Source organism: Homo sapiens, chromosome 8 (genome assembly GCF_000001405.40).
Source record: "Homo sapiens chromosome 8, GRCh38.p14 Primary Assembly".
Classification (NCBI taxonomy): domain Eukaryota; kingdom Metazoa; phylum Chordata; class Mammalia; order Primates; family Hominidae; genus Homo; species Homo sapiens.
The window spans coordinates 108,197,450-108,217,615 of record NC_000008.11 but is presented as its reverse complement, the minus strand read 5'-3'; the positions used below and the strand labels follow the sequence as shown (position 1 = coordinate 108,217,615).

Sequence of the window (20,166 nt, the reverse complement as noted above, 5' to 3'; positions counted from 1 at the left end):
TTTTAAATTTCCTTGGAGGAGATTTTCTTATAATACTCATTCTTAAGTGTTTGCAGTCTTAGGCTAGTGAAATAGTACAATCTAATGACCTGCTCGAGAGTTTTCTTTATCTCACCCTGGGTAAGTTATTAAATAACTTTTATATTTTTTCTTAGATATCTTAATGCAATTCAGACAATGTGTCCACACATTCTTCGCTATTTGACTACAGCAGTCATAACAAACAAGGATGTTCGAAAACGTCGGCAGGTTCTAAAAGATCTAGTTAAAGTTATTCAACAGGTAAAACTAAAATATATATTGATTTTTTTTTTTAAATACCTAAGCTTTAGGTCTAACCTCTTTTTCTAAGGTAAGACTTAGTTCTTAAGGTACAAACGTTTTTAAAAATAGGTGGAAGGAATACTTGAAGTTTAGAAAAGAGAAGACCCTCAAATGGGCTTTTGTTTTCCTTAAGTCCAAGATACACAAGTTGGATGTGGTAGGAATGATTATTACTGTCTGCTAGATGAACACTTAATATATACATTATGTGTATGTGTTTCTCTTATTGCAAAGAGTGAAGAAAATCTGGAACCTGGAGGTGGGGGTCATTACCTGTGTAATTCTACATGGGTGAACTTTATATACAATACCGTTTCAATAGACCCCAAGTTGGGCAAAAGGTTTCAGGCAGCCATGCTGATTGATATTTAGTGAGCTTGTCAGCAAAACCCGTAGATTAGAAATATAACTTAAATATTTATTTAAGAGTGTATTAAATACAAAGAAGTTATTGTCATTCAGTAGGGAATGAATACCCTTATGATTGGGGAAGTTTATTACTGTTTATTGACCAAGGGAGACTTTTGGTAGTAGAGGAATTTGAAAGCTTTCAGAATGCTTCTAGGATGAGACTTTAGAGAACTTGGTTTGAAAGACATAATAAGCTTAAGGTGTGGTCTGGAATCAGGATAGGAACAATTGTTTTGGGAAGATGCTAGGTAATTTGGCTAGAAATTAATGGTAAAGAAGGAGAAAACAAGAAGATTGGGATATTCTGGGGCAATCTGCTAAACAATGTTGAATCAGACTTACCTTGACCGTTGACTTATTTTTACAGGAGTCTTACACATATAAAGACCCAATTACAGAATTTGTTGAATGTTTATATGTTAACTTTGACTTTGATGGGGCTCAGAAAAAGCTGAGGGAATGTGAATCAGTAAGTGTGAATTTTTATTTATAAACTAATACTATTCTTAAATTTTTGGATATTGTAACGTTAATCTTGCAGTGTCTTCCTTAAAGTAATGAAGTAATTATAACGGAAATATGCTTATTAATCTTAAAAAGGCCTAAATGGCTCATGTTTATTAACCTTAAAATGGCTTAAATGGCTTGTGTTTATTAATCTTAAAATGGGAATGTGCTAGAGTGATGACTTTTTTAATGTTGTTGCCATGTGTTTATCCCTTTTGTGAGGGAGTTTGTTAAAACATTGGGGGTAATTTAAATTTACAGACATATCCATAATTTCATGTCTTAAATCTCGAATGAATATTTTTAATATTTCATATGTACAGGCAAGGTCACTTTGAATTGCAAATAACAACTGTGTTTTTAATTTTGGTTCATAGATGGGCTTATCTTTAGAATATTTCCCATGGTTGTATTTAACATTTGTGATAAACCAGGCAATTCATTGTAATTACGAATTTTATAACGGCGGTGTCTCTTATTGTTTAGTAGAAATTAAAGTACCTTTAGAGCAAATGGAAGACTTATAGTTGTTTTGAATAATTAGTTTACAAGTTTTAAGAAACTAAACTAAGAATTCTAACTGCTAAATGTAGTTGCATTTACCAGATTCACAAGTTACTGGTTATCAGTTTCACCCTTGGAACCAAAATTTTGGCACAAAATGGGCAATTTGTTGACAAATATCTTACTTCTCTAAGGAAAAAAATGATCATGCAAATATCCATTCCCTGATGATTTTCTTATTTTATTTTTTTTCAGACAGAGTCTCACTCTGTTGCCGAGGCTGGAGTGCAGTGGCATGATCCCGGCTCACTGCAAACTCCACCTCCCGGGTTCACACCATTCTCCTGCCTCAGCCTCCCAAGTAGCTGGGACCATAGGCGCCCACCACCACGCCCGGTTAATTTTTTGTATTTTTAGTAGAGACAGGGTTTCACCATGTTAGCCAGGATGGTCTCGATCTCCTGATCTTGTGATCTGCCCACCTCGGCCTCCCAAAGTGCTGGGATTACAGGCGTCAGCCACCGCACCTGGCCTCCCTGATGATTTTCAAACATTAGATGGAATAGAAAATTAGAATCCAATATGGTAATTGGTGTTTTTTTTTGTAGTCATATATTGCATTATTAAGGTAAATATTGGCGTATATTCATTATGCTAAGTGTCTAGGTTTTGATGTTAAAAGACCTAGAGGGTACTTGGTTGCTGTTCTTGAAATTAAAATATTCTCTCTTAATTACACCATCTGTGGAATAGTAGCCACCTTTTGCATTCTTTTCCTTCTAATTTCTAAGTCTACTTAATATTGTAGAAATACTCCGAGCTTGTAGTCCATTTATAATTATTTTAAATAGTTGGAAGAGATAACATTATCTGCAGAGCATTTATGTAGAATAATGGATAGTACCAAACTTTGTTGTCAGAAGGCTACTTTATTAAAGTTATCAGAAACATTGCAGTTTTTAGGTCTTTATCTTGTGGTATTCGTTTACTACTTATTTAAATCATTAAAGATTTGAACACAGTGTTCTAGAAAGTGCTGTGGTATAAAACTCATGATTGTAGAATGGAAAAATAAAGCAGATAAAGTATTTGATTCACGTTTCAGGCAATTGCTTGTCAGCATCATTAATTTTTGTTGTATTTGTACATATAGGTGCTTGTGAATGACTTCTTCTTGGTGGCTTGTCTTGAGGATTTCATTGAAAATGCCCGTCTCTTCATATTTGAGACTTTCTGTCGCATCCACCAGTGTATCAGCATTAAGTAAGAACACCGTGATTTGATTTGGATTTTCTACTTTAAAATTCCTGGAAATTTCCATTTATTGTGAATTTACACTTAATAGAATTCCAGTTAATTGGATTTTTATTTATTTTTGCTTTCAGAAGAACAATGAAACAATTTGATAAAATTATTTAAAAACCTAACTTTTGCTACAGGCTCAGATAGTTTTAGCTTGAGTGGCATAATTTTTCAAAATACTAAGTTGAAGGCAATATATGATTATCAGTTACCTTATTGAAGAGTAAATACTCTTGTACCTTTACGTAAGGAGAAAAGTGTAGTAAACATTTCTAAAATGGTTTTCAACAACAGTACAAAGGAGATACCCATTAAATTGGAAATTCTGTTGAAAGACCACTACATTTGGTAATCCTTTCCATTTAGTTTGTATGATTTAATTACATATTTGACTTCTCCTATAGTAAACTCCTATGGCATCTTAAAATGTTGAAAGATGGAAAAATTATAGTGAATTTTAGTTGTAATTTCCTGTTTTGTCAGAAAATATTGGGAAAAAATTGTGAAATGTACATAACCTATTAGAAATAAATTGTACACATTACAGTTTGAAAAATGACTAGTGCCCTTTGGGCACAGAGGAAGTCAAACAAATGTTTAAAAACCTACTGCTTTAGTGTTTGCTTCTGAGGAATTGTGCATAAAACAAATTCTTTTTCTTTAATGCCATTTGTTTTTGCTTATCCATACTTCGCTTGCCTAATTTTAGTGGGCCGTCCGTTGAAGTGGTTGTCCAGAGTTAGAAGGATAGTATAATCATGGGATTTTTCCTATGGGAATTGAATCCTTGCCTTCACAGTTTTATTAGCACTTTACTGTAGCTTGCAGACAGAATTTTTTAAACCTGATTCTCTTACAAATTACATGAAAATTCCTAATAATGTAATTGGTTATGAAATAAAGAGGTAGGTACATCATATGTGGGGCTCCGGTGGATAGTAGTAACTGAATTCTTGCATTGTTCTTTGTTTTTAAGGTTTGTAATTAGGGCTTGTGAAAGAGGGATGTTAGTATTTTGGTTTCCCTTGTAGAATTTTCTCCATTTCTCATTAGAATGTGGTCATTTGGGTGCTTTTTGGTCCAGAACTGACTTAGCTACTACCGCTGTTGTGGGCCTTTTGAAAGCTGACCCTTTTTTTTGCATCTTTAGCACCTAACATACTAACTTTGTAGCACCTAATATGCTTTGTACAGTATAGTGTGAGTATACAATATAAATATTTGTTAAGTAAATTTCTTCTGTTATTAGTGAACTTGGCATTTTTGTCCATGATAATGCTTGTCTGCTTTGGTGTTTGCTTCCGAGGTACTATCAATAAGATTTGTTGTAGCTCTTTTCCTTTAACTCTGCAGCCATGTATTCATTATTTTCTTTCTTGGGATTTGGTTTATTATCTTTTAAGAGGAACATAGATTAAGTATGTGTTCTCCTTACTGAAGGGAGATGTGCAGCTCAAAGAAGTTAATAGAGTGGGAATGTTTCTATATACCTTTATGTGACACTACCTAAGAATTTTTCAGACTTTTCTCCGTGTAGATTTTTATTACTTCCTTGATCTCTGTAGTTTTCTGCTAGACAAAAATCTACAAAGCATTTTCAGACTAAAGTCCTAGTGGCTTTCCAGAGTCTAAAAATATTTTTTTTTCTAGTAGTAGCATTTTCTTTCACTTCAGTTCTTCAATTTTTTTTTCAATGTTTTACTAAGATGATTAAGAGTACATAGATCAATAATGTATGTTTTTCTTTTTCTTTCTTTTTTTGGGGGGAGACACAGTCCTGCACTGTTGCCTAGGCTTGGGTATAGTGGTGCGATCTCTGCTCACTGCAACCTCTGCCTCTCGCGTTCAAGAGATTCTCGTGCCTCAGCCTCCCAAGTAGCTGAGATTACAGGCATGTGCCACCACGCCCAGCTAATTTTTGTGCTTTTAGTAGAGATGGGGTTTCACCATGTTGGCCAGGCTTGTCTTGAACTCCTGGCCTCAAGTGATCTCCCTGCCTTGTTCTCCCAAAGTGCTGGGATTACAGGCGTGAGCCACTTGCGCCCAGCGTTTTTTCAAGTACTATGGTAGAATTTTCAATCTGAAAGAAATCTTAGGGATCTTCTGATCCAACAACACAGTTACTTTTCAGGTGAAGGACTTCTCAGTAGAATTTTCTGTAGTGATAGAAATGTTTTATATCTGAAAATGTGTTTCTATGTGTTCAGTACAGTATACTTCATAGATGGCTCACATTTCAAGATCTTGAAGTATGGTTTCCAAATCTCTGTGTGACAGTGGGACTTATTTTCAAATGTAATATCATATATATGAATATATGTATTTATATATGTGTATAAGCAGATCAAAGCAGAGCCCATTCACCGTGCCTATCTTACAGTTCTGTTCAGCTTCTCTCCTGACTACTAAGACACCTCTTTGGAACACAGTTTTACAAAACACTGACTCAGAACAACTGCATTGTTTTGTAGCCAGGAAATTTAAAGCTCAAGGACATTAAGCTAGGTCTTGATAGAGCCTGTACTAAAGGTATCTGACATTCATTGTACTGTACCTCACTGTAAGTTCTTTTATATTGTGAACAATTTATATTTTTAGAAATGTCAGGTTTAGATTAATTTGTCATTTAGTTTATCAGTTGAGCCAGAGGATAAAGATGAAAACCCTAAGTCACTTTAACTCTGTGTTTCAGAATCTTTGTAGAGTTTGTTTTATAAACTCCCTATAGCCACCCTAAACCATTGAATCAGATTTATTGAGTAGGCTATGCTATGATTTGCAGCAGGGCTGCTGTGCTGTATCTTGAGGGTGGTTATTCCGAAGCACAGCCAGAATCCAAAACCACTGCATTAGGTAACCAGTTTTTTAGGCGTGTAATTACAGCCTGCTAAAGTAATGGAGTGAAAAATCAGTAATTTAATACCTTTATTATATAATGAATTAAGAAGATAAGCTTCTTCGTGTTTCTAAGGATGCTTTAGTGGGTTAGAAAGACAAAAGAAACTACCATCAGAGTGAACAGACAACCTACAGAATAGGAGAAAATTTTTAGCATCTACCCATCTGACAAAGGGCTAATATCCAGAATCTACAAAGTACCTAAACAAATTTACAAGAAAAAAACAACCCCATCAAAAAGTGGGCAAAGGATATGAACAGATACTTCTGAAAAGAAGACATTTATGCAGCCAACAGACATATGAAAAAATGCTCATCATCACTGGCCATCAGAGAAATGCAAATCAAAACCACAATGAGATACCATCTCACACCAGTTAGAATGGCGATCATTAAAAAGTCAGGAAACAACAGGTGCTGGAGAGGATGTGGAGAAATAGGAACACTTTTACACTGTTGGTGGGACTGTAAACTAGTTCAACCATTGTGGAAGACAGTGTGGTGATTCCTCAAGGATCTAGAACTAGAAATACCATTTGACCCAGCCATCCCATTACTGGACATATACCCAAAGGATAATAAATCATGCTGCTATAAAGACACGTGCACACATATGTTTATTGAGGCACTATTCACAATAGCAAAGACTTGGAACCGACCCAAATGTTCATCAATGATAGACTGGATTAAGAAAATGTGACACATATACACCATGGAATACTATGCAGCCATAAAAAATGATGAGTTCATGTCCTTTGTAGGGACATGGATGAAGCTAGAAACCATCATTCTGAGCAAACTATCACAAGGACAGAAAACCAAACACCGCATGTTCTCACTCATAGGTGGGAATTGAACAATGAGAACACTTGGACACAGGGTGGGGAACATCACACACCGGGGCCTGTCGTGGGGTGGGGGGAGTGGGGAGGGATAGCATTAGGAGATATACCTAATGTAAATGACGAGTTAATGGGTGCAGCACACCAACATGGCACATGTGTGCATATGTAACAAACCTGCACGTTGTACAAATGTACCCTAGAACTTAAACTATAATAATAGAAAAAAGACAGTGGCTGGAAATAATACGTATTTATGTTGGGATTTTATAAATACAGCTAACATTTTAATTTGGACTCCAAGAATTTGTAATCCGTGATAATGACCAACAGAGCTAAAAATTACCTTTAAACATTACACGGGAAAAAAAGTACTTGTTCTTTAAGCCAGAGGTTTTAAACCTAGTTGTACATTGAAATCATCTGGAGAAGTAAAATAACAAGAATTTAGCTTAAAAATAATAGATTTCCTGGTTTTATCCCAGGCCTTCTGAATCAAAATCTCTGTGATGCAGGCTTGAGAATCTGGGATTAAAGCTTCTCAGGTGATTCTTTTGCAGTCAGCCTTGGGGAATCATTGCTGTAAATTAGTGACTTTATAGTACTGACAACACATTAGAATCAAATGGGAAACTCTAAAAAGTAATAAACAGAAATACTATATGACTGAGCCTAACCTTTAAAAAACAAAAACATTCTCTGGAGGGAGACCCCATAGACTGTGTTTTAAAAAAAGGTCCTCTAAGTGATTTTGATGCAAGATCTGGCTTAAAAAAAAAAAAAAAGTTAAACTGTTTATTTTGAGATGATTATGTATCAGTTGTAAGAAATGATAAAAAGACCCCCTATGTCCTTTACTCAGTTTCTCCCATTAGTAACATCTTGCAAAACCACAGTAAAATATAGCAGCCAGGATGTTGATGTTGATACATTCAAGATACAGAACATTTCTATCACAAGGATCCTTCAAGCTGCTCTTTTATAGTGGTACCCTCTTCCCTGCCACCCTGTCCTTAATTTCTGGCAACTACTCATTTGTTCTCCATTCCTATATTTTTATTACTTTGAGAATATGCAAAACATTTTCTAAAAGTTAGTGTTCAGCTTCCTAAACGGCAAATATGCTATGTATCATGATTATGGTATAATTAATTACTAGCAACCTAACTAGTAGTACAGCTCTCCAAAGAAAACATTACAGATGTTAATGAGTGCCTCTTTTGGCCAAACACGGGGTAGAAAGTAGTGAGTACACTTTCAAAGAACTTAAAATCCAGAGGAAGAAGCGGATATTAAATAAGTGGACAAATAAATATAAAGTTACAAATTATTGAAAATATTTGTAATTTTGGGAAATTTCAAAATTTCATATTTGAAGTTACACATTATTAAAAATAGGTCCATATCATTCTCTCTAGTCACTCTGCATTGGGGAACAATGAGAAGAAAATTAGGTAGGGTCAGTGAATCCTGATAACTCTCCAAATGAAATATCTTTAAGCCCCAAAATAGACTTTTTTCCACTGAATACTAACTATGGCATATTATTCCATTCACTAGTTTATGCTGGCTTATTTTTGCCTTTAATTAGTTTAAAGCTATCTGATGTTCTGTCTTTTGAGGGGGAAGGGAAAGGATATATCTCAGCTTCTTTTTCTCCCACCAAAGGACACATTTCAAATGCTGAAAATAGTATTATAAAACCCATAATTGTTTATTAAATAACTCTATTTGTAATTTGGAACATTCTCTGTTAATAGATTTCCTGACTAAATGCCTGTAAGCACATGTGATAGTCAGCTTTATAAAAATGCATATTAAGAATGTTTTATATGTTTTTATACAACCTTATTGATATGTAGGATAAGTTACAAATCTGTTTACCATAAAGTTTGCAACATCTGTCAAAAAAGATTACTGTGTTGGGGTTTAATTTAGTATAGCTGAATCATTTTATCAGCTATGGTATGTGTCTGAAATTTAAAAGCTGTTCTAAAATAATTCTTGGACGAGTTTTCAATTGTAGATGAAAACAAATTATGGAAGTAATATTTTGGATGTGTATGATAAACATGTTGGAGCATACATTAGTATAATTTCCCAATGGGGGTTACTTAAGTTTTGAAGTTATTCTACTTTGCTTATTTTATTAAGTTATATTTTAGTTCTTAATATTTTTCTTAAAGTTCTTATTACCACATAACAATTTACATTTAGAATGTAAATGTATGGAGACAAACAGTTTCAAAGGCCATTATCATTGCATTTCTGCATTATCAATAAGGTTCAGTTATTTATAAGATTATAAAGAGATAATTTTCAGTTTTCACATAAGGATTTAGCATTTCTCAATTTTCTCCTCTTTTCTTTGTCCTGTTTCCTCCCAATCATACAGTTAAACATAGTTTACACTTAACACTGATTCTTTAATTAGTTGTCTTAAACTAATTAGAAAAGACTTGGAGTACTTTTCTTTGGATATGCTGAATAGTTGGCCAGTAGTCTTCAGTGAAAACTAGACCAGAGGTTTCTATATCCAAATGGTTAAATCAGCAGTATTTTGAAATAAATTGTGCCTATCAGATAAAATTTGGAAAGCCAGGTTATTCAAAGAGGTAATTAATAAGACAGGTGAAATATCAGATCCCCAGGCCTTATTTTTCCAAGTGTTTGTTAAGATGAGAGGTTGGGGGAAGATGGTGGCTATGGGAGGGTTTAGAAAAGTAAGACCATTTGAAAGATTAGGCACTCAAAACCTGATAGAAAATCTAGAGTTGATACAACCCTTATCAGTTCCCTAAATTAAGACTTATATATCTTCTGTCCTTAAGTGGGATCTCTGGTATTTTTTACTTCCTGGAAACAAAAAAATATTTCCCTAAATCAAGACTTAAATTTATCTTGTGTCCTTAAGTGGGATCTCTGTTATTTTTTACTTCCTGGAAACAAAGTATTTCATTTTGTGCTAGAAGCATGAACATGTTTAATTAAATTGAACTGAGGATGAAAGATTTGTTTTTGCTTTGTCTTTTGAAATAGCACTTAAGAATTCTGTGCATATCTTATTTAACATATTCGATGTTGTGTTTTGTGTGTGTGTCAGTTGAGCAGCAGAGCTAGTTAGGTTAAAGATATTTATAAAGGATTTACAGAACATATTTAAGTATCTACCTTAAGCTGCCTACAGACAAGGTTGAGATTTTTAGTGTAATCTAAATAATCTAGAAATTTGGGTGTTTAAAATCTGGATTGGACTAGATATTTTTCTCAGAAATTCTGCATTTTGATGGATTTTGTCTTTTAGTTTATTAATAAATTGAATTATTTTCAGTAACATGAGGCAAGCATGTTCTGGGATAGGTTACGCCAACTTTTTGTCTTTTTAAAATTGGTTTTATTTCTCCCTAGCCACTAGACCACCAGGGACAGCCTTTTAAGCTTTGATAGGATATTACACTTTTATTTTAATATCTGTAGACTTTGATGATTTCTATTAGTCCTTTTTTTTCCTTTGCGTTTTGTAGAGACAGGGTCTTGCTGTGTTGCCCAGGCTGGTCTGAAATTCCTGGGCTCAAGCAGTCCTCCTGCCTCGGCCTCCCAAAGTGCTGAGATTACAGGCCTATTAATCATTTGGTTTCTTTTACTGAGTGTATTTTCATGTTACTGAAACCAGATTATTTCTACATTCTTTAATTCAGTCAGAGTGATAATCAGCAGCTTAGATAAACTGAGATGCCATCAATTATTTACTAGTATTCCTTGGGCCTTATTTCAGGTTTTTCTTTGACCTGATTCACTTCGAAAAGTAAAGATCAACAAATAAAAGATCAACAAGCACAGTGCAAACAAAGATCCACAAAGTAAGATATGGCTCAGAGCGTGCAGGCATTTATGGATCTTGATGCTTGTTGCAAAATTACACCAGCTATGTTGGAATGAGTCTTAGAATATGGATGTAAAGAAAGAGAGAGGGATAGAGAATTCTAGTTAGAGTTATTACATAAGATGGAATTTTTTTTTATAAAGACACAGGATCTTGTTCTGTCACCCAAGCTGGAGTACAGTGGCGCAATCATAGCTTACTGCAGTCTGAAACTGCTGGGCTCAAATGATACTCACACCTTAGCCTCTCGAGTATCTGGGACTATAGGTGCAGGCCACTGTACGTGCGTGCGTGTGTATGTGTGTGTGTGTCTGTGCGACCATGCCAGTGTGTGTGTGTGTGTGTGTGTGTGCACATGTGCACAGAATCTTGCTGTGTTGCTCAGACTGGTCTCAGACTTCTGGCCTCAGCCTCCCAAAGTGTTGGAATTATAGGTATGAGCCACCACATCCAGCCTAGAATGGAATTTTCACTCTATGGTCTTAAAAATCTAAGATTAAATATCATTTCCTTAGGTAAGCTGTTCCCAAATCTCCAGATTAGAACTGGTAGACCTTTTTGCATTTCACATACATAGGTCCTTCCACTTTTTCTTTTTTCTTTCTTTTTCTTTTTTTTTGACATGGGGGTCTCACTTTGTTGCCCATGCTGGAATGCAGTGATGCCATCTCAGCTCACTGTAACCTCTGCCTCCCAAGATCAAGCGATGTTTAAGTCAAGACCCCCTTGACTTAAACTCTGTAAAGGCTGGCAACAGAGGATGTTTTGCCAGTAGCATCTAACACGGTTGGTATTTTGTTGAGTAAATGTCAACAAAGTAAAAGGATTGGTTTGGTTTGGCTGGCATGTTATATTTATGAAGGAGAATGATGGGAACTTGGAAAGTTAAAAGTGTTGAAAGGAATTTGGAAATAAACTGGGTATAGTAGTCTCCCCTTACCCAAGGGGATATGTTCCAAAACCCCCAGAGGATGCTTGAAACTGCAGGTAGTACCAAACCCAATACAGACTAGGTTTTTCCCTGTGCACACATAACTATGATAAAGTTTAATTTATAAGTTGAGCACAGTAGAAGATTAACAACAACAATAATAAATAGAACAATTATAACAATATGCCAGCATCACTACTCTTGTACTTTGGGGCCATTACTAAGTAAAAAATGGTTCCTTGAACATAAGCTCTGTGATATCAAGACACTTGATAGCTGGAATAGCTACTATGTAACTGATGGGCGGGTAGCGTATACAGTGTCGATATGCTGGACAAAGGGATGATTCAAGTCCTAGGTGAGACAGTAGGACAATACAAGATGTCATCATGCTAGCCAGAACAGTTTACAATTTAAAGCTTATCAATTGTTTATTTCTGGAGTTTTCTATTTAATATTTTCAGACTGGGATTGACTGCTGATAACAGAAACCACAGAAAGTGGAACTACGGATAAGTGGGAACTACTGTAGTTGGGTTGTAGAACTAACCTGGCAGATGTGTAAGATAGATTGTAGAGACTCAAGAGGTAAAGTAGTTAGAAAACTAAGAAATAGTAATGGAGCCTGGACTAGGGTAGTGACTAGAATAAGAATCAATCAGACAGTAAATATTTATCGTCTCCTGTGTATGAGGAGTCATGCTGCTAATTGCTGGACATAACGGCAGTGAATGAGGAAGATACGGTGCGTGCACTTTGGTTACATGTATACGGTCTACCTTGGAAGCAGATATTCAGTAAAACAACTATAGCAAAAATAGGTGCTATGAAAGCACCTAACTGATGTATCACAGATGGGAGAGGTGTCTTAGAAGGCTTATGAGGGTCTTATTTTAGCTGAGACCTGATAGCTTCCATGAAGATAAAAGACAGTATATAAACACACATACATACATGCATGTATACTACATACTCTTAAATATTTTACATGCATATGTAGGTACTCTTCCATCAGCGGAACTGACTTAACCTATTTACTAAGACTGGTGTGTTTTTAATTCTGATAAATTAAGCTCTGCAATGGCCCTCTTCAACCTGATCATAAAATTGGAAAAATACAAAATGCAGATTGGTTGATATCAAAGAGTATTTTAGATCAAGATCTTCATGGTCTGGTCTGCTCCCTCTGTCTCTTTTATCTGAAATTCAGTCTCTCTCTCTCTCTCTCTCTGTCTCTCTCTCTCTCTCTCTCTCTCTCTCTCTCTCTATATATATATATATACATACATACTATATATAGTATATAGCTCCAGGGAGTGCCCCCACAGTTTATAGCACAAATATACACAATGCCCGTCAGTTTTATTTATGTTTTCCTGAGATTATACTTATTACTGATGCTCTTTATAGTAGGCTTACTTTTTTAAAAATTTTATTTCAGTAGCTTTTGGAGTACACGTGGTGTTTCGTTACATGGATGAATAATATAGTGGTGAATTCTGGGATTTTAGCTCATAGCTTAGCTCCCACTTATAAAGGAGAACATAAGGTTTTTGGTTTTCCACTCCTGCATTACTTCACCTAGAATAATGGCCTCCAGTTTCATCCAAATTGCTGCAGAAGACATTATTTTCTTCCTTTTCATGGCTGAGTAGTATTCCATGGTTTATATATACCAGATTTACTTTATCCACTCATTAGTTGATGGGCACGTAGGTTGGTTCCTAAGTGAATTGTGAATTGTGCTGCTGTAAATATATCTGTACAAGTGTCTTTTTCATATGTCTTCTTTATCCAAAGAAACCTTTATACAAAGGTTTACTTTGTATAACCATTATATAGTTGTCCCTTGATATCCTTGGGGGACTGGTTCTAGGACCCTCCTGGATGCCAAAATTCATAGATTCCCAAGTGTCTTAAATAAAATGGGGTGATATTTTCATATAACCTATGCATGTTATCTCATATACTTTTAATCATCTCTGGGTTACTTTTAAAAATGTAAATGCTATGTAAATAGGTGTTATACTGTATTGGTTTTTCATTTGTATTATTTTTGTATTCTTTTTTATTGTTTGTTTGCTTTTTCCCAAATATTTTCTATCTATGGTTTGTTGAATCTGAGGATGTGGAACCTGTGGATATGGAGGGCTGACTTATATAGAGGGAACATCATAAAACCTTTTTCTCCCTTAGATCATTACTTCTTGAGCACCTGGCAAATGTAAAGTACTGTTCTAGAAGCTGAAGGATTTCCGTAAATGCAGAATATGTTACCCTACCCTCAAGGATTTTACAGTCCAGTTGGTGAATGGAATAGGTCGTGCATAGTACAAGTCAATAGGCACAAGCACATGAACAAATCAGACAGTAGGGGTCATGGTATATAAGAGAAGGGTGATCCAGAAATACCAAAAAGTATCTATGCAGAGTGTGAGTCAACACTGTGTACATAAAACTAAGTTTTTAGGCCCAGTTAATTAACATTGCTGTTTTTACTTTTTCATTAGCATGTTGGCAGATAAATTGAACATGACTCCAGAAGAAGCTGAAAGGTGGATTGTAAATTTGATTAGAAATGCAAGACTGGATGCCAAGATTGATTCTAAATTAGTGAGTATTATGTTAGCTATGCTACATACTATCAGTTCCTGATTATACTTTTGGGAATTCTTAACTAGGACATTTTATTACCTCCTTTAATAATTTATTTTGTTTTAATGTAAAACAGTTCTTTGAAGGCAACAGAAGCCTCCTATTTTTTTTCTTCCTTGGTAAATATTGTCATCTCTATACAGTGCATTAAAATATGCGCAAAGGTATGTCATGCTTTTTACTTACCTGAGAAACTCAGTCATTAACATTATAGGATCAATTTCCCTGTGTTTCCTTTTAGGGTCATGTGGTTATGGGTAACAATGCAGTCTCACCCTATCAGCAAGTGATTGAAAAGACCAAAAGCCTTTCCTTTAGAAGCCAGATGTTGGCCATGAATATTGAGAAGAAACTTAATCAGAATAGCAGGTCAGAGGTAAGAACCACACATCTTCTATTCTGTCTGGGGTTTAGCAACCATGTAATTGTTACATGAAGTTTCAAAGTGTATTGATGAGTTGTAGCTGATTTTGTTTTTCTCTTTAAAGATATGAACATTTTTAAGAAATTACTAAACAGAAAATTTTTTCTTAGATGTATTATATGCATTAAACATAGAAACTGAAAAAGAAATTGTGTTCCTAGTTTATTATAACTATTTTTCTTTTGCTTTGACTCTTCCTGTGTGACTTCATTAACTCATTTCCTCAGGGTTTTCAACACATCATTTTGATACTGGCAGATGATAACTTACATGTGTAGCCCTCTTTCAAGTGTTCGAAATGTGTATTCTTTCTAAATCTAAAGAAATAATTCTGTAAAAATGTTGATCTTATTATATGTATTAGTGCTGATCTTATACAAATTTCATTATCTTTCATCTGATATTCATATCAAAAATTAATCTCCCATTTTGATAGAGATCCTGCATGTTAGAGATTGAAGAAACTTGAATGGCCTTATAATTTTGGAATCCTAAACTGTGTTGTTTAGACATTATGATTATGTGTAACTGGAGGGTAGGAAGTCATTAGGAAGCAGTTGTGGGATATGCAGAGACCCCATTTGATTGAAATTTTAGGAACAAATTTGTGTCCGCAGAATAATCCTTTAGTTCAAATGAGAAGGATGCATTAGAATTCAAGTTGCATATTTTAGCCAAGTTTAGAATAACTGAGCCTAGAAAGTAACTTTCATATGATGTTTTTTTCTGTATGCTTTAGGATTAATTTGTATCATTTATTGTTCCAGTATTAATGATACTGTTATTGCTATATATTTTAATTGGCCAAAAGCTATACCAGATAATAATTTTGGTGTTTGTTTTGTCCTGAGTGGGACATCTGACATCTAGTAATTGCAGGAGTTAAGATCTTAGAATGGTTTGGCAAGAGACTATAGTGCTGAAGTAAATGCTGTGTTACTTTCTTCTATGTTAGTTTTTTTCCGAAAGTATTTTCTTTTCACGGTGTTGATTTCTTTTTGCATATTTTAGGCTCCTAACTGGGCAACTCAAGATTCTGGCTTCTACTGAAGAACCATAAAGAAAAGATGAAAAAAAAAACTATCAAAGAAAGATGAAATAATAAAACTATTATATAAAGGGTGACTTACATTTTGGAAACAACATATTACGTATAAATTTTGAAGAATTGGAATAAAATTGATTCATTTTATCTTGCTGTCAGTTTTCTTGCATGTGCAAGTTTGTGTTTTTTTAACTTTCTTTTTTGGAATAATTATATTCAGAGGAATTTGCAAAAATAGTACAGAGAAGTCCCTGTAGGCTGAACCCTGTTTCCCTCAATTTTTTCACTTTGTCTTACTATGGTACAGTATCAAAACCAGGATGTTGACATTGGTACAATGTGTGTACAAATAGCTCCCTACCATTTTATCACGTGTAGATTTGTGTAACCATCACTGCAGCCAAGATAGAGAACTATCATCATGATCTCCCTCATGCTACCTTTTTGTAGCCATACCTACTCCCAACCAACTCTAACCCTAGGAACCACTAATCTGTTCCTCATCGCTATATTTTGTCATTATGAGAATGTTATATAAATGGAATTACATAATACACAACCTTTGAGATTAGCTTTTTTCATTCATCACAATGCTCTTGAGAGCCATCCAAGTTGAGAGATAGATATATATATATATATGATCAGTAGTTAATTCCTTTTTTATTGCCAAATAGTATTCCATGGTATTGATGTGCCACGTGGTTTAACTGGTATTGATGTGCCATGTGGTTTAACCATGTACCTATTGAAGGATATTTTAGTTGTTTCCAGTTTGGTACTATTACAAATAAAACTGTTGTTCCTTAATTTCTTAAAAGTGGCTCCTCAGTCACTCACTGTATAGTTACGGAGACTAGGCATATAAGTTGAATTTTATAAGTGTCAAATGTTAAATACAGACATACTGTTTACTGGATACTGGAGGTATTTAAGAGCTACAGAGCCCTCACTGGGTCCCTTTTTTACATAGAAGTGGCTTGATTTTTCACTTTGGTTGAACTGACAGCCAGTCAGATAACAGAAACTTGTTGCTGCTCTCAAGGAGGAGGTTCAAAGATAAAAAGGTACATACTGTTCTTTTATTTGACATCTGATCAGGCCACCTTCCATACTCAGTTTAGAGACTACGGTAGTTAGGTTGCATCTGCCATTCAAAGAGCATGGAGACCTCCCAATACTAAACAGCATGGGGGTCTACAAACTTTTTTTTGTAAAAGGTCAGATATTAAATCTTAGGCTTTGCAGGCAGTATGTTCTCTGTTTTAGGTATTCAACTCTGTCATGTAGCACAAAAGCAGCCTTTGTATGTAAATGGATGCTTATGGCTGTGTTCCAGTAAAACTATTTACAAAAACAGGCCAAGGCCAGATTTGTTTCACCTGCTGTGGTTTCCAACCCTTGGCTTGGGGTATTGGTACTTCTAAGCTTTAGTCTAAGGGTGCTGAAACTAGGAAGATTATTGGTTAGGATAAGCCAAGTACTATTTTTTTATTTATCTGTAACCAGTATTGTGAAAATGCCAGGTATAGGGCAGGAAAAAATACATAAAGAAATAAAAGAGGATTCTTGGTAGTACAAAATGGTCAAGGGTCATGGAGAAAGTACCAAAGTGTTGAAACAGTAACAAGGTAGGACAGTAACAAGACAGACTCTTTATATATGTAGCAGCTAATTCCATGAATTAAAAGTTCTTATCTTTATCAAATAGAGCCATAGTTATATAGAACCATATAAAATGGCATATATTACTCAGGCTATGTAGAATTGAGAAAGATGTTCTCGGCTGAGAAGGAAGGAAACAAGACTTCATGTTTCCTTCACCAGTAACCAAAGGGCCAAAAGTTCCTACATGGAGACATCATTAATCACCGTTTAAGACTGTAGCTCAACCAAGCCACATTAATAGCTAACGAAGATTTCTGGATGATTACATAGCTCAGCAGCTAAAAACAATTATTAAATATGCCCTAGTGGACTAGTAAAAGCCCCAGATAGGAAAAATAGGAAGCCAATAATAAGTATTTACCATGTGTCATAGGAAGCCAGTAGTAAGTATTTACCATGTGTCAGGCATTTTTATGTCCTCTGTTTCTCTAAATAAACTAACCTAAGGAGAAAGAAGGGAATCTTAACATTTGAATGCCTTGCTTAAGCCTGGAAATACTAAAATTTAGGTGGTATTATTTATATGTTATTGATGAGGAAGCATACTCACATGGTTGCCTAAGGCAGGAGTCCGCAGCCCCTGGGCTGTGGACTGGTACCAGTCTGTGGCAGCATTCGATTCTTATAGGACTGTGAACCCTAGTGTGAACTAAGCATGAGAGGGATCTAGGTTGCGCACTCCTTAAGAGAATCTAATGTGGCCTACCCCCCATCCGTGGAAAACTTGTCTTCCACGAAACCGGTGCCTGGTGCCAAAACGATTGGGGACTGCTGGCTTAAGGTAATACCTAATACAAGTTAAAGTAAGGAAAAGACTCTTAAGTTATGTCACACTAACCTTCCTTACATCATTCATTGTTGCCTTATAATTAGAAATTGCAAAGAGTTAAGGGATACATATTTAGTAGGTTGTGCGAACAGGTCTTGATCACCAAACTAGGTTTCTCAGCACCATTATCTTCCAATAAGAGCAAAGGGTACTCTATTTTTCTACGGGTATAATCATTGGATACAAGTGGCCCCTTACACACAAAACCTGTTGGAACATAGAAAACTCTGAAGAACATCTCTTTGATTTTTCTTTTTTCTATTTATGCTCTGCTCCTTCAAGACTATCTGCTATATGAATAATTAATGCTCACTTCTACCACTTTTTTTCTTTTCACATATTGTCATCTTTTGAACTTGAAAGATGATGCCACTATGGATTACTAGTATCAATTAGAAAGAAAAAAACTATATACAACTAATGGCCATTTTTGCACATTACCAATACTTGTTTGTCATTAAAACCCATTTTTGAAGTTTGCATAATAAAAGTTACTTGATTTGGGGCTTAACCTTAAGTTTTGATAACAGGTAGGCTGTTCCAGTAAAGTATTGAGCACCAAATAAGTAGTTACTAATTTTCTTGTGCTCTTTTTTTTTTCTTTTTTTCCCATTCAGTAGATAGTACATCCTCCTATGTGTTAGCAGCTTTTATAAACACATCGAAGAAGAGCATTCATGAAACTTATGTTAAAAAAAAGTTGCTTTGAGTCCTTTAAAATTTTTTCTGTGCACTCATAAGCATATGTGTTTATGCCTTTTTAATATGAACTATACAAAAGTATACGTAAACGTCCAGTTTACAGAAGAAAAAAAATGCATTTACCCAATACCAATACTTCCTACATGCTACTGAGCTGAAGAAATAGAATGGTCCTAGTAATTGGCCCCTCAGTAATTGTATTTTCTTCTTTGCCCCTAAAAAGTAAACACTACCATAACTTTTGTGTTAATTTCTTTGTTTTTATTGTTTTATCACACACACACATACACACATATATACCATATATACCCACAGTTGACCCTTGAACAACATGGGTTAGGGACACCTATTCACCAGTAACCCGAAAGTAAAAAATCATTACATGGAGACACATAGAGTCAAAAGTCCATGTATAACTTACAACTCCCCCAAAACTACTAATAGCTTACTGATAAATGATTGATTAATAAATATTTAGTATGTTATATACTGTATTTTTATAATTAAGCTATAGAAAATGTTATGAGGAAATAAGAGAAAATATACTTAACATTTATTAGGTAGAAATGGGTCATATTATAAAGGTCTTCATCCTTCTCTTCACATTGAGTAGGCTGAGGAGGGGGTTGGTCTTGCAGTCTCATGGGTAGCAGAGGAGGAAGTGGAGGAGGTGGAAGGGGAGGCATGAAGCAGGCACACCTGCAACTTTAAAGAAACACTGTAATTCAACTTTTTTGCTTTTTCATTTTTTAAAAAATATTTGTATATGATACTCATCCTTTTTTCTCCATTTGTGTAGTTTTCAGTGCCTGTATCAGAAGGGTCTGTGCCATGAAGGAAGTCAAAAGCAATCTTGAATAATCGGAACCCTTCTGTCGGATGTCTAACATCAATTTGTGTTCTGGCACTGTTGCTTCTGCATTGTCTTATCATCTGGCACTGGTTCAGAAACATCTCCATCAAGTCGTGTTTTGTTAATTCCTGTGGTATGGTGTCTGTTAGCTCTTGAATTTCTCCAAGATCTGTATCTTGAAACCCTGCACCCCCCACCTTTTTTGCCATGTCCATAACCTCTTTCATGATTTCCTTGATTGGTTCTGTTGTAAATCCTGTGAAGTTTTGCACAACATCTGGACACAGTTTTCTGCAGCAGGAATTTATTGTTTTGGGCATGAGGGCTTTCACGGCTTTTTTTTTTTTTTTTTTTTTTTGTAACAACAATGTATCTTTAAGTGGTGTAATTC

General features: G+C 35.1%; 1 protein-coding gene across 1 annotated transcript in view, besides 1 other annotated feature; it reads left to right on the top strand.

Moving 5' to 3' along the window:
* Positions 1–16,400, top strand: part of EIF3E (eukaryotic translation initiation factor 3 subunit E) — a 47,502-nt gene extending 31,102 nt beyond the window's left edge. The window contains exons 8-13 of the mRNA NM_001568.3: positions 156–282; positions 1,103–1,204; positions 2,900–3,009; positions 14,113–14,215; positions 14,499–14,633; positions 15,693–16,400. Of these exons, the coding sequence (NP_001559.1) occupies positions 156–282; positions 1,103–1,204; positions 2,900–3,009; positions 14,113–14,215; positions 14,499–14,633; positions 15,693–15,731 (616 nt within the window). The 3' untranslated portion in view covers positions 15,732–16,400. The remainder of the gene's footprint in view (positions 1–155; positions 283–1,102; positions 1,205–2,899; positions 3,010–14,112; positions 14,216–14,498; positions 14,634–15,692) is intronic.
* Positions 16,949–17,149: a silencer, noted in NCBI's record as "peak7146 fragment used in MPRA reporter construct". NCBI's record gives its function as "represses an SCP1 promoter by STARR-seq MPRAs in K562 erythroleukemia cells {active_cell/tissue: K562}" and the evidence as "EXISTENCE:reporter gene assay evidence [ECO:0000049][PMID:32103011]".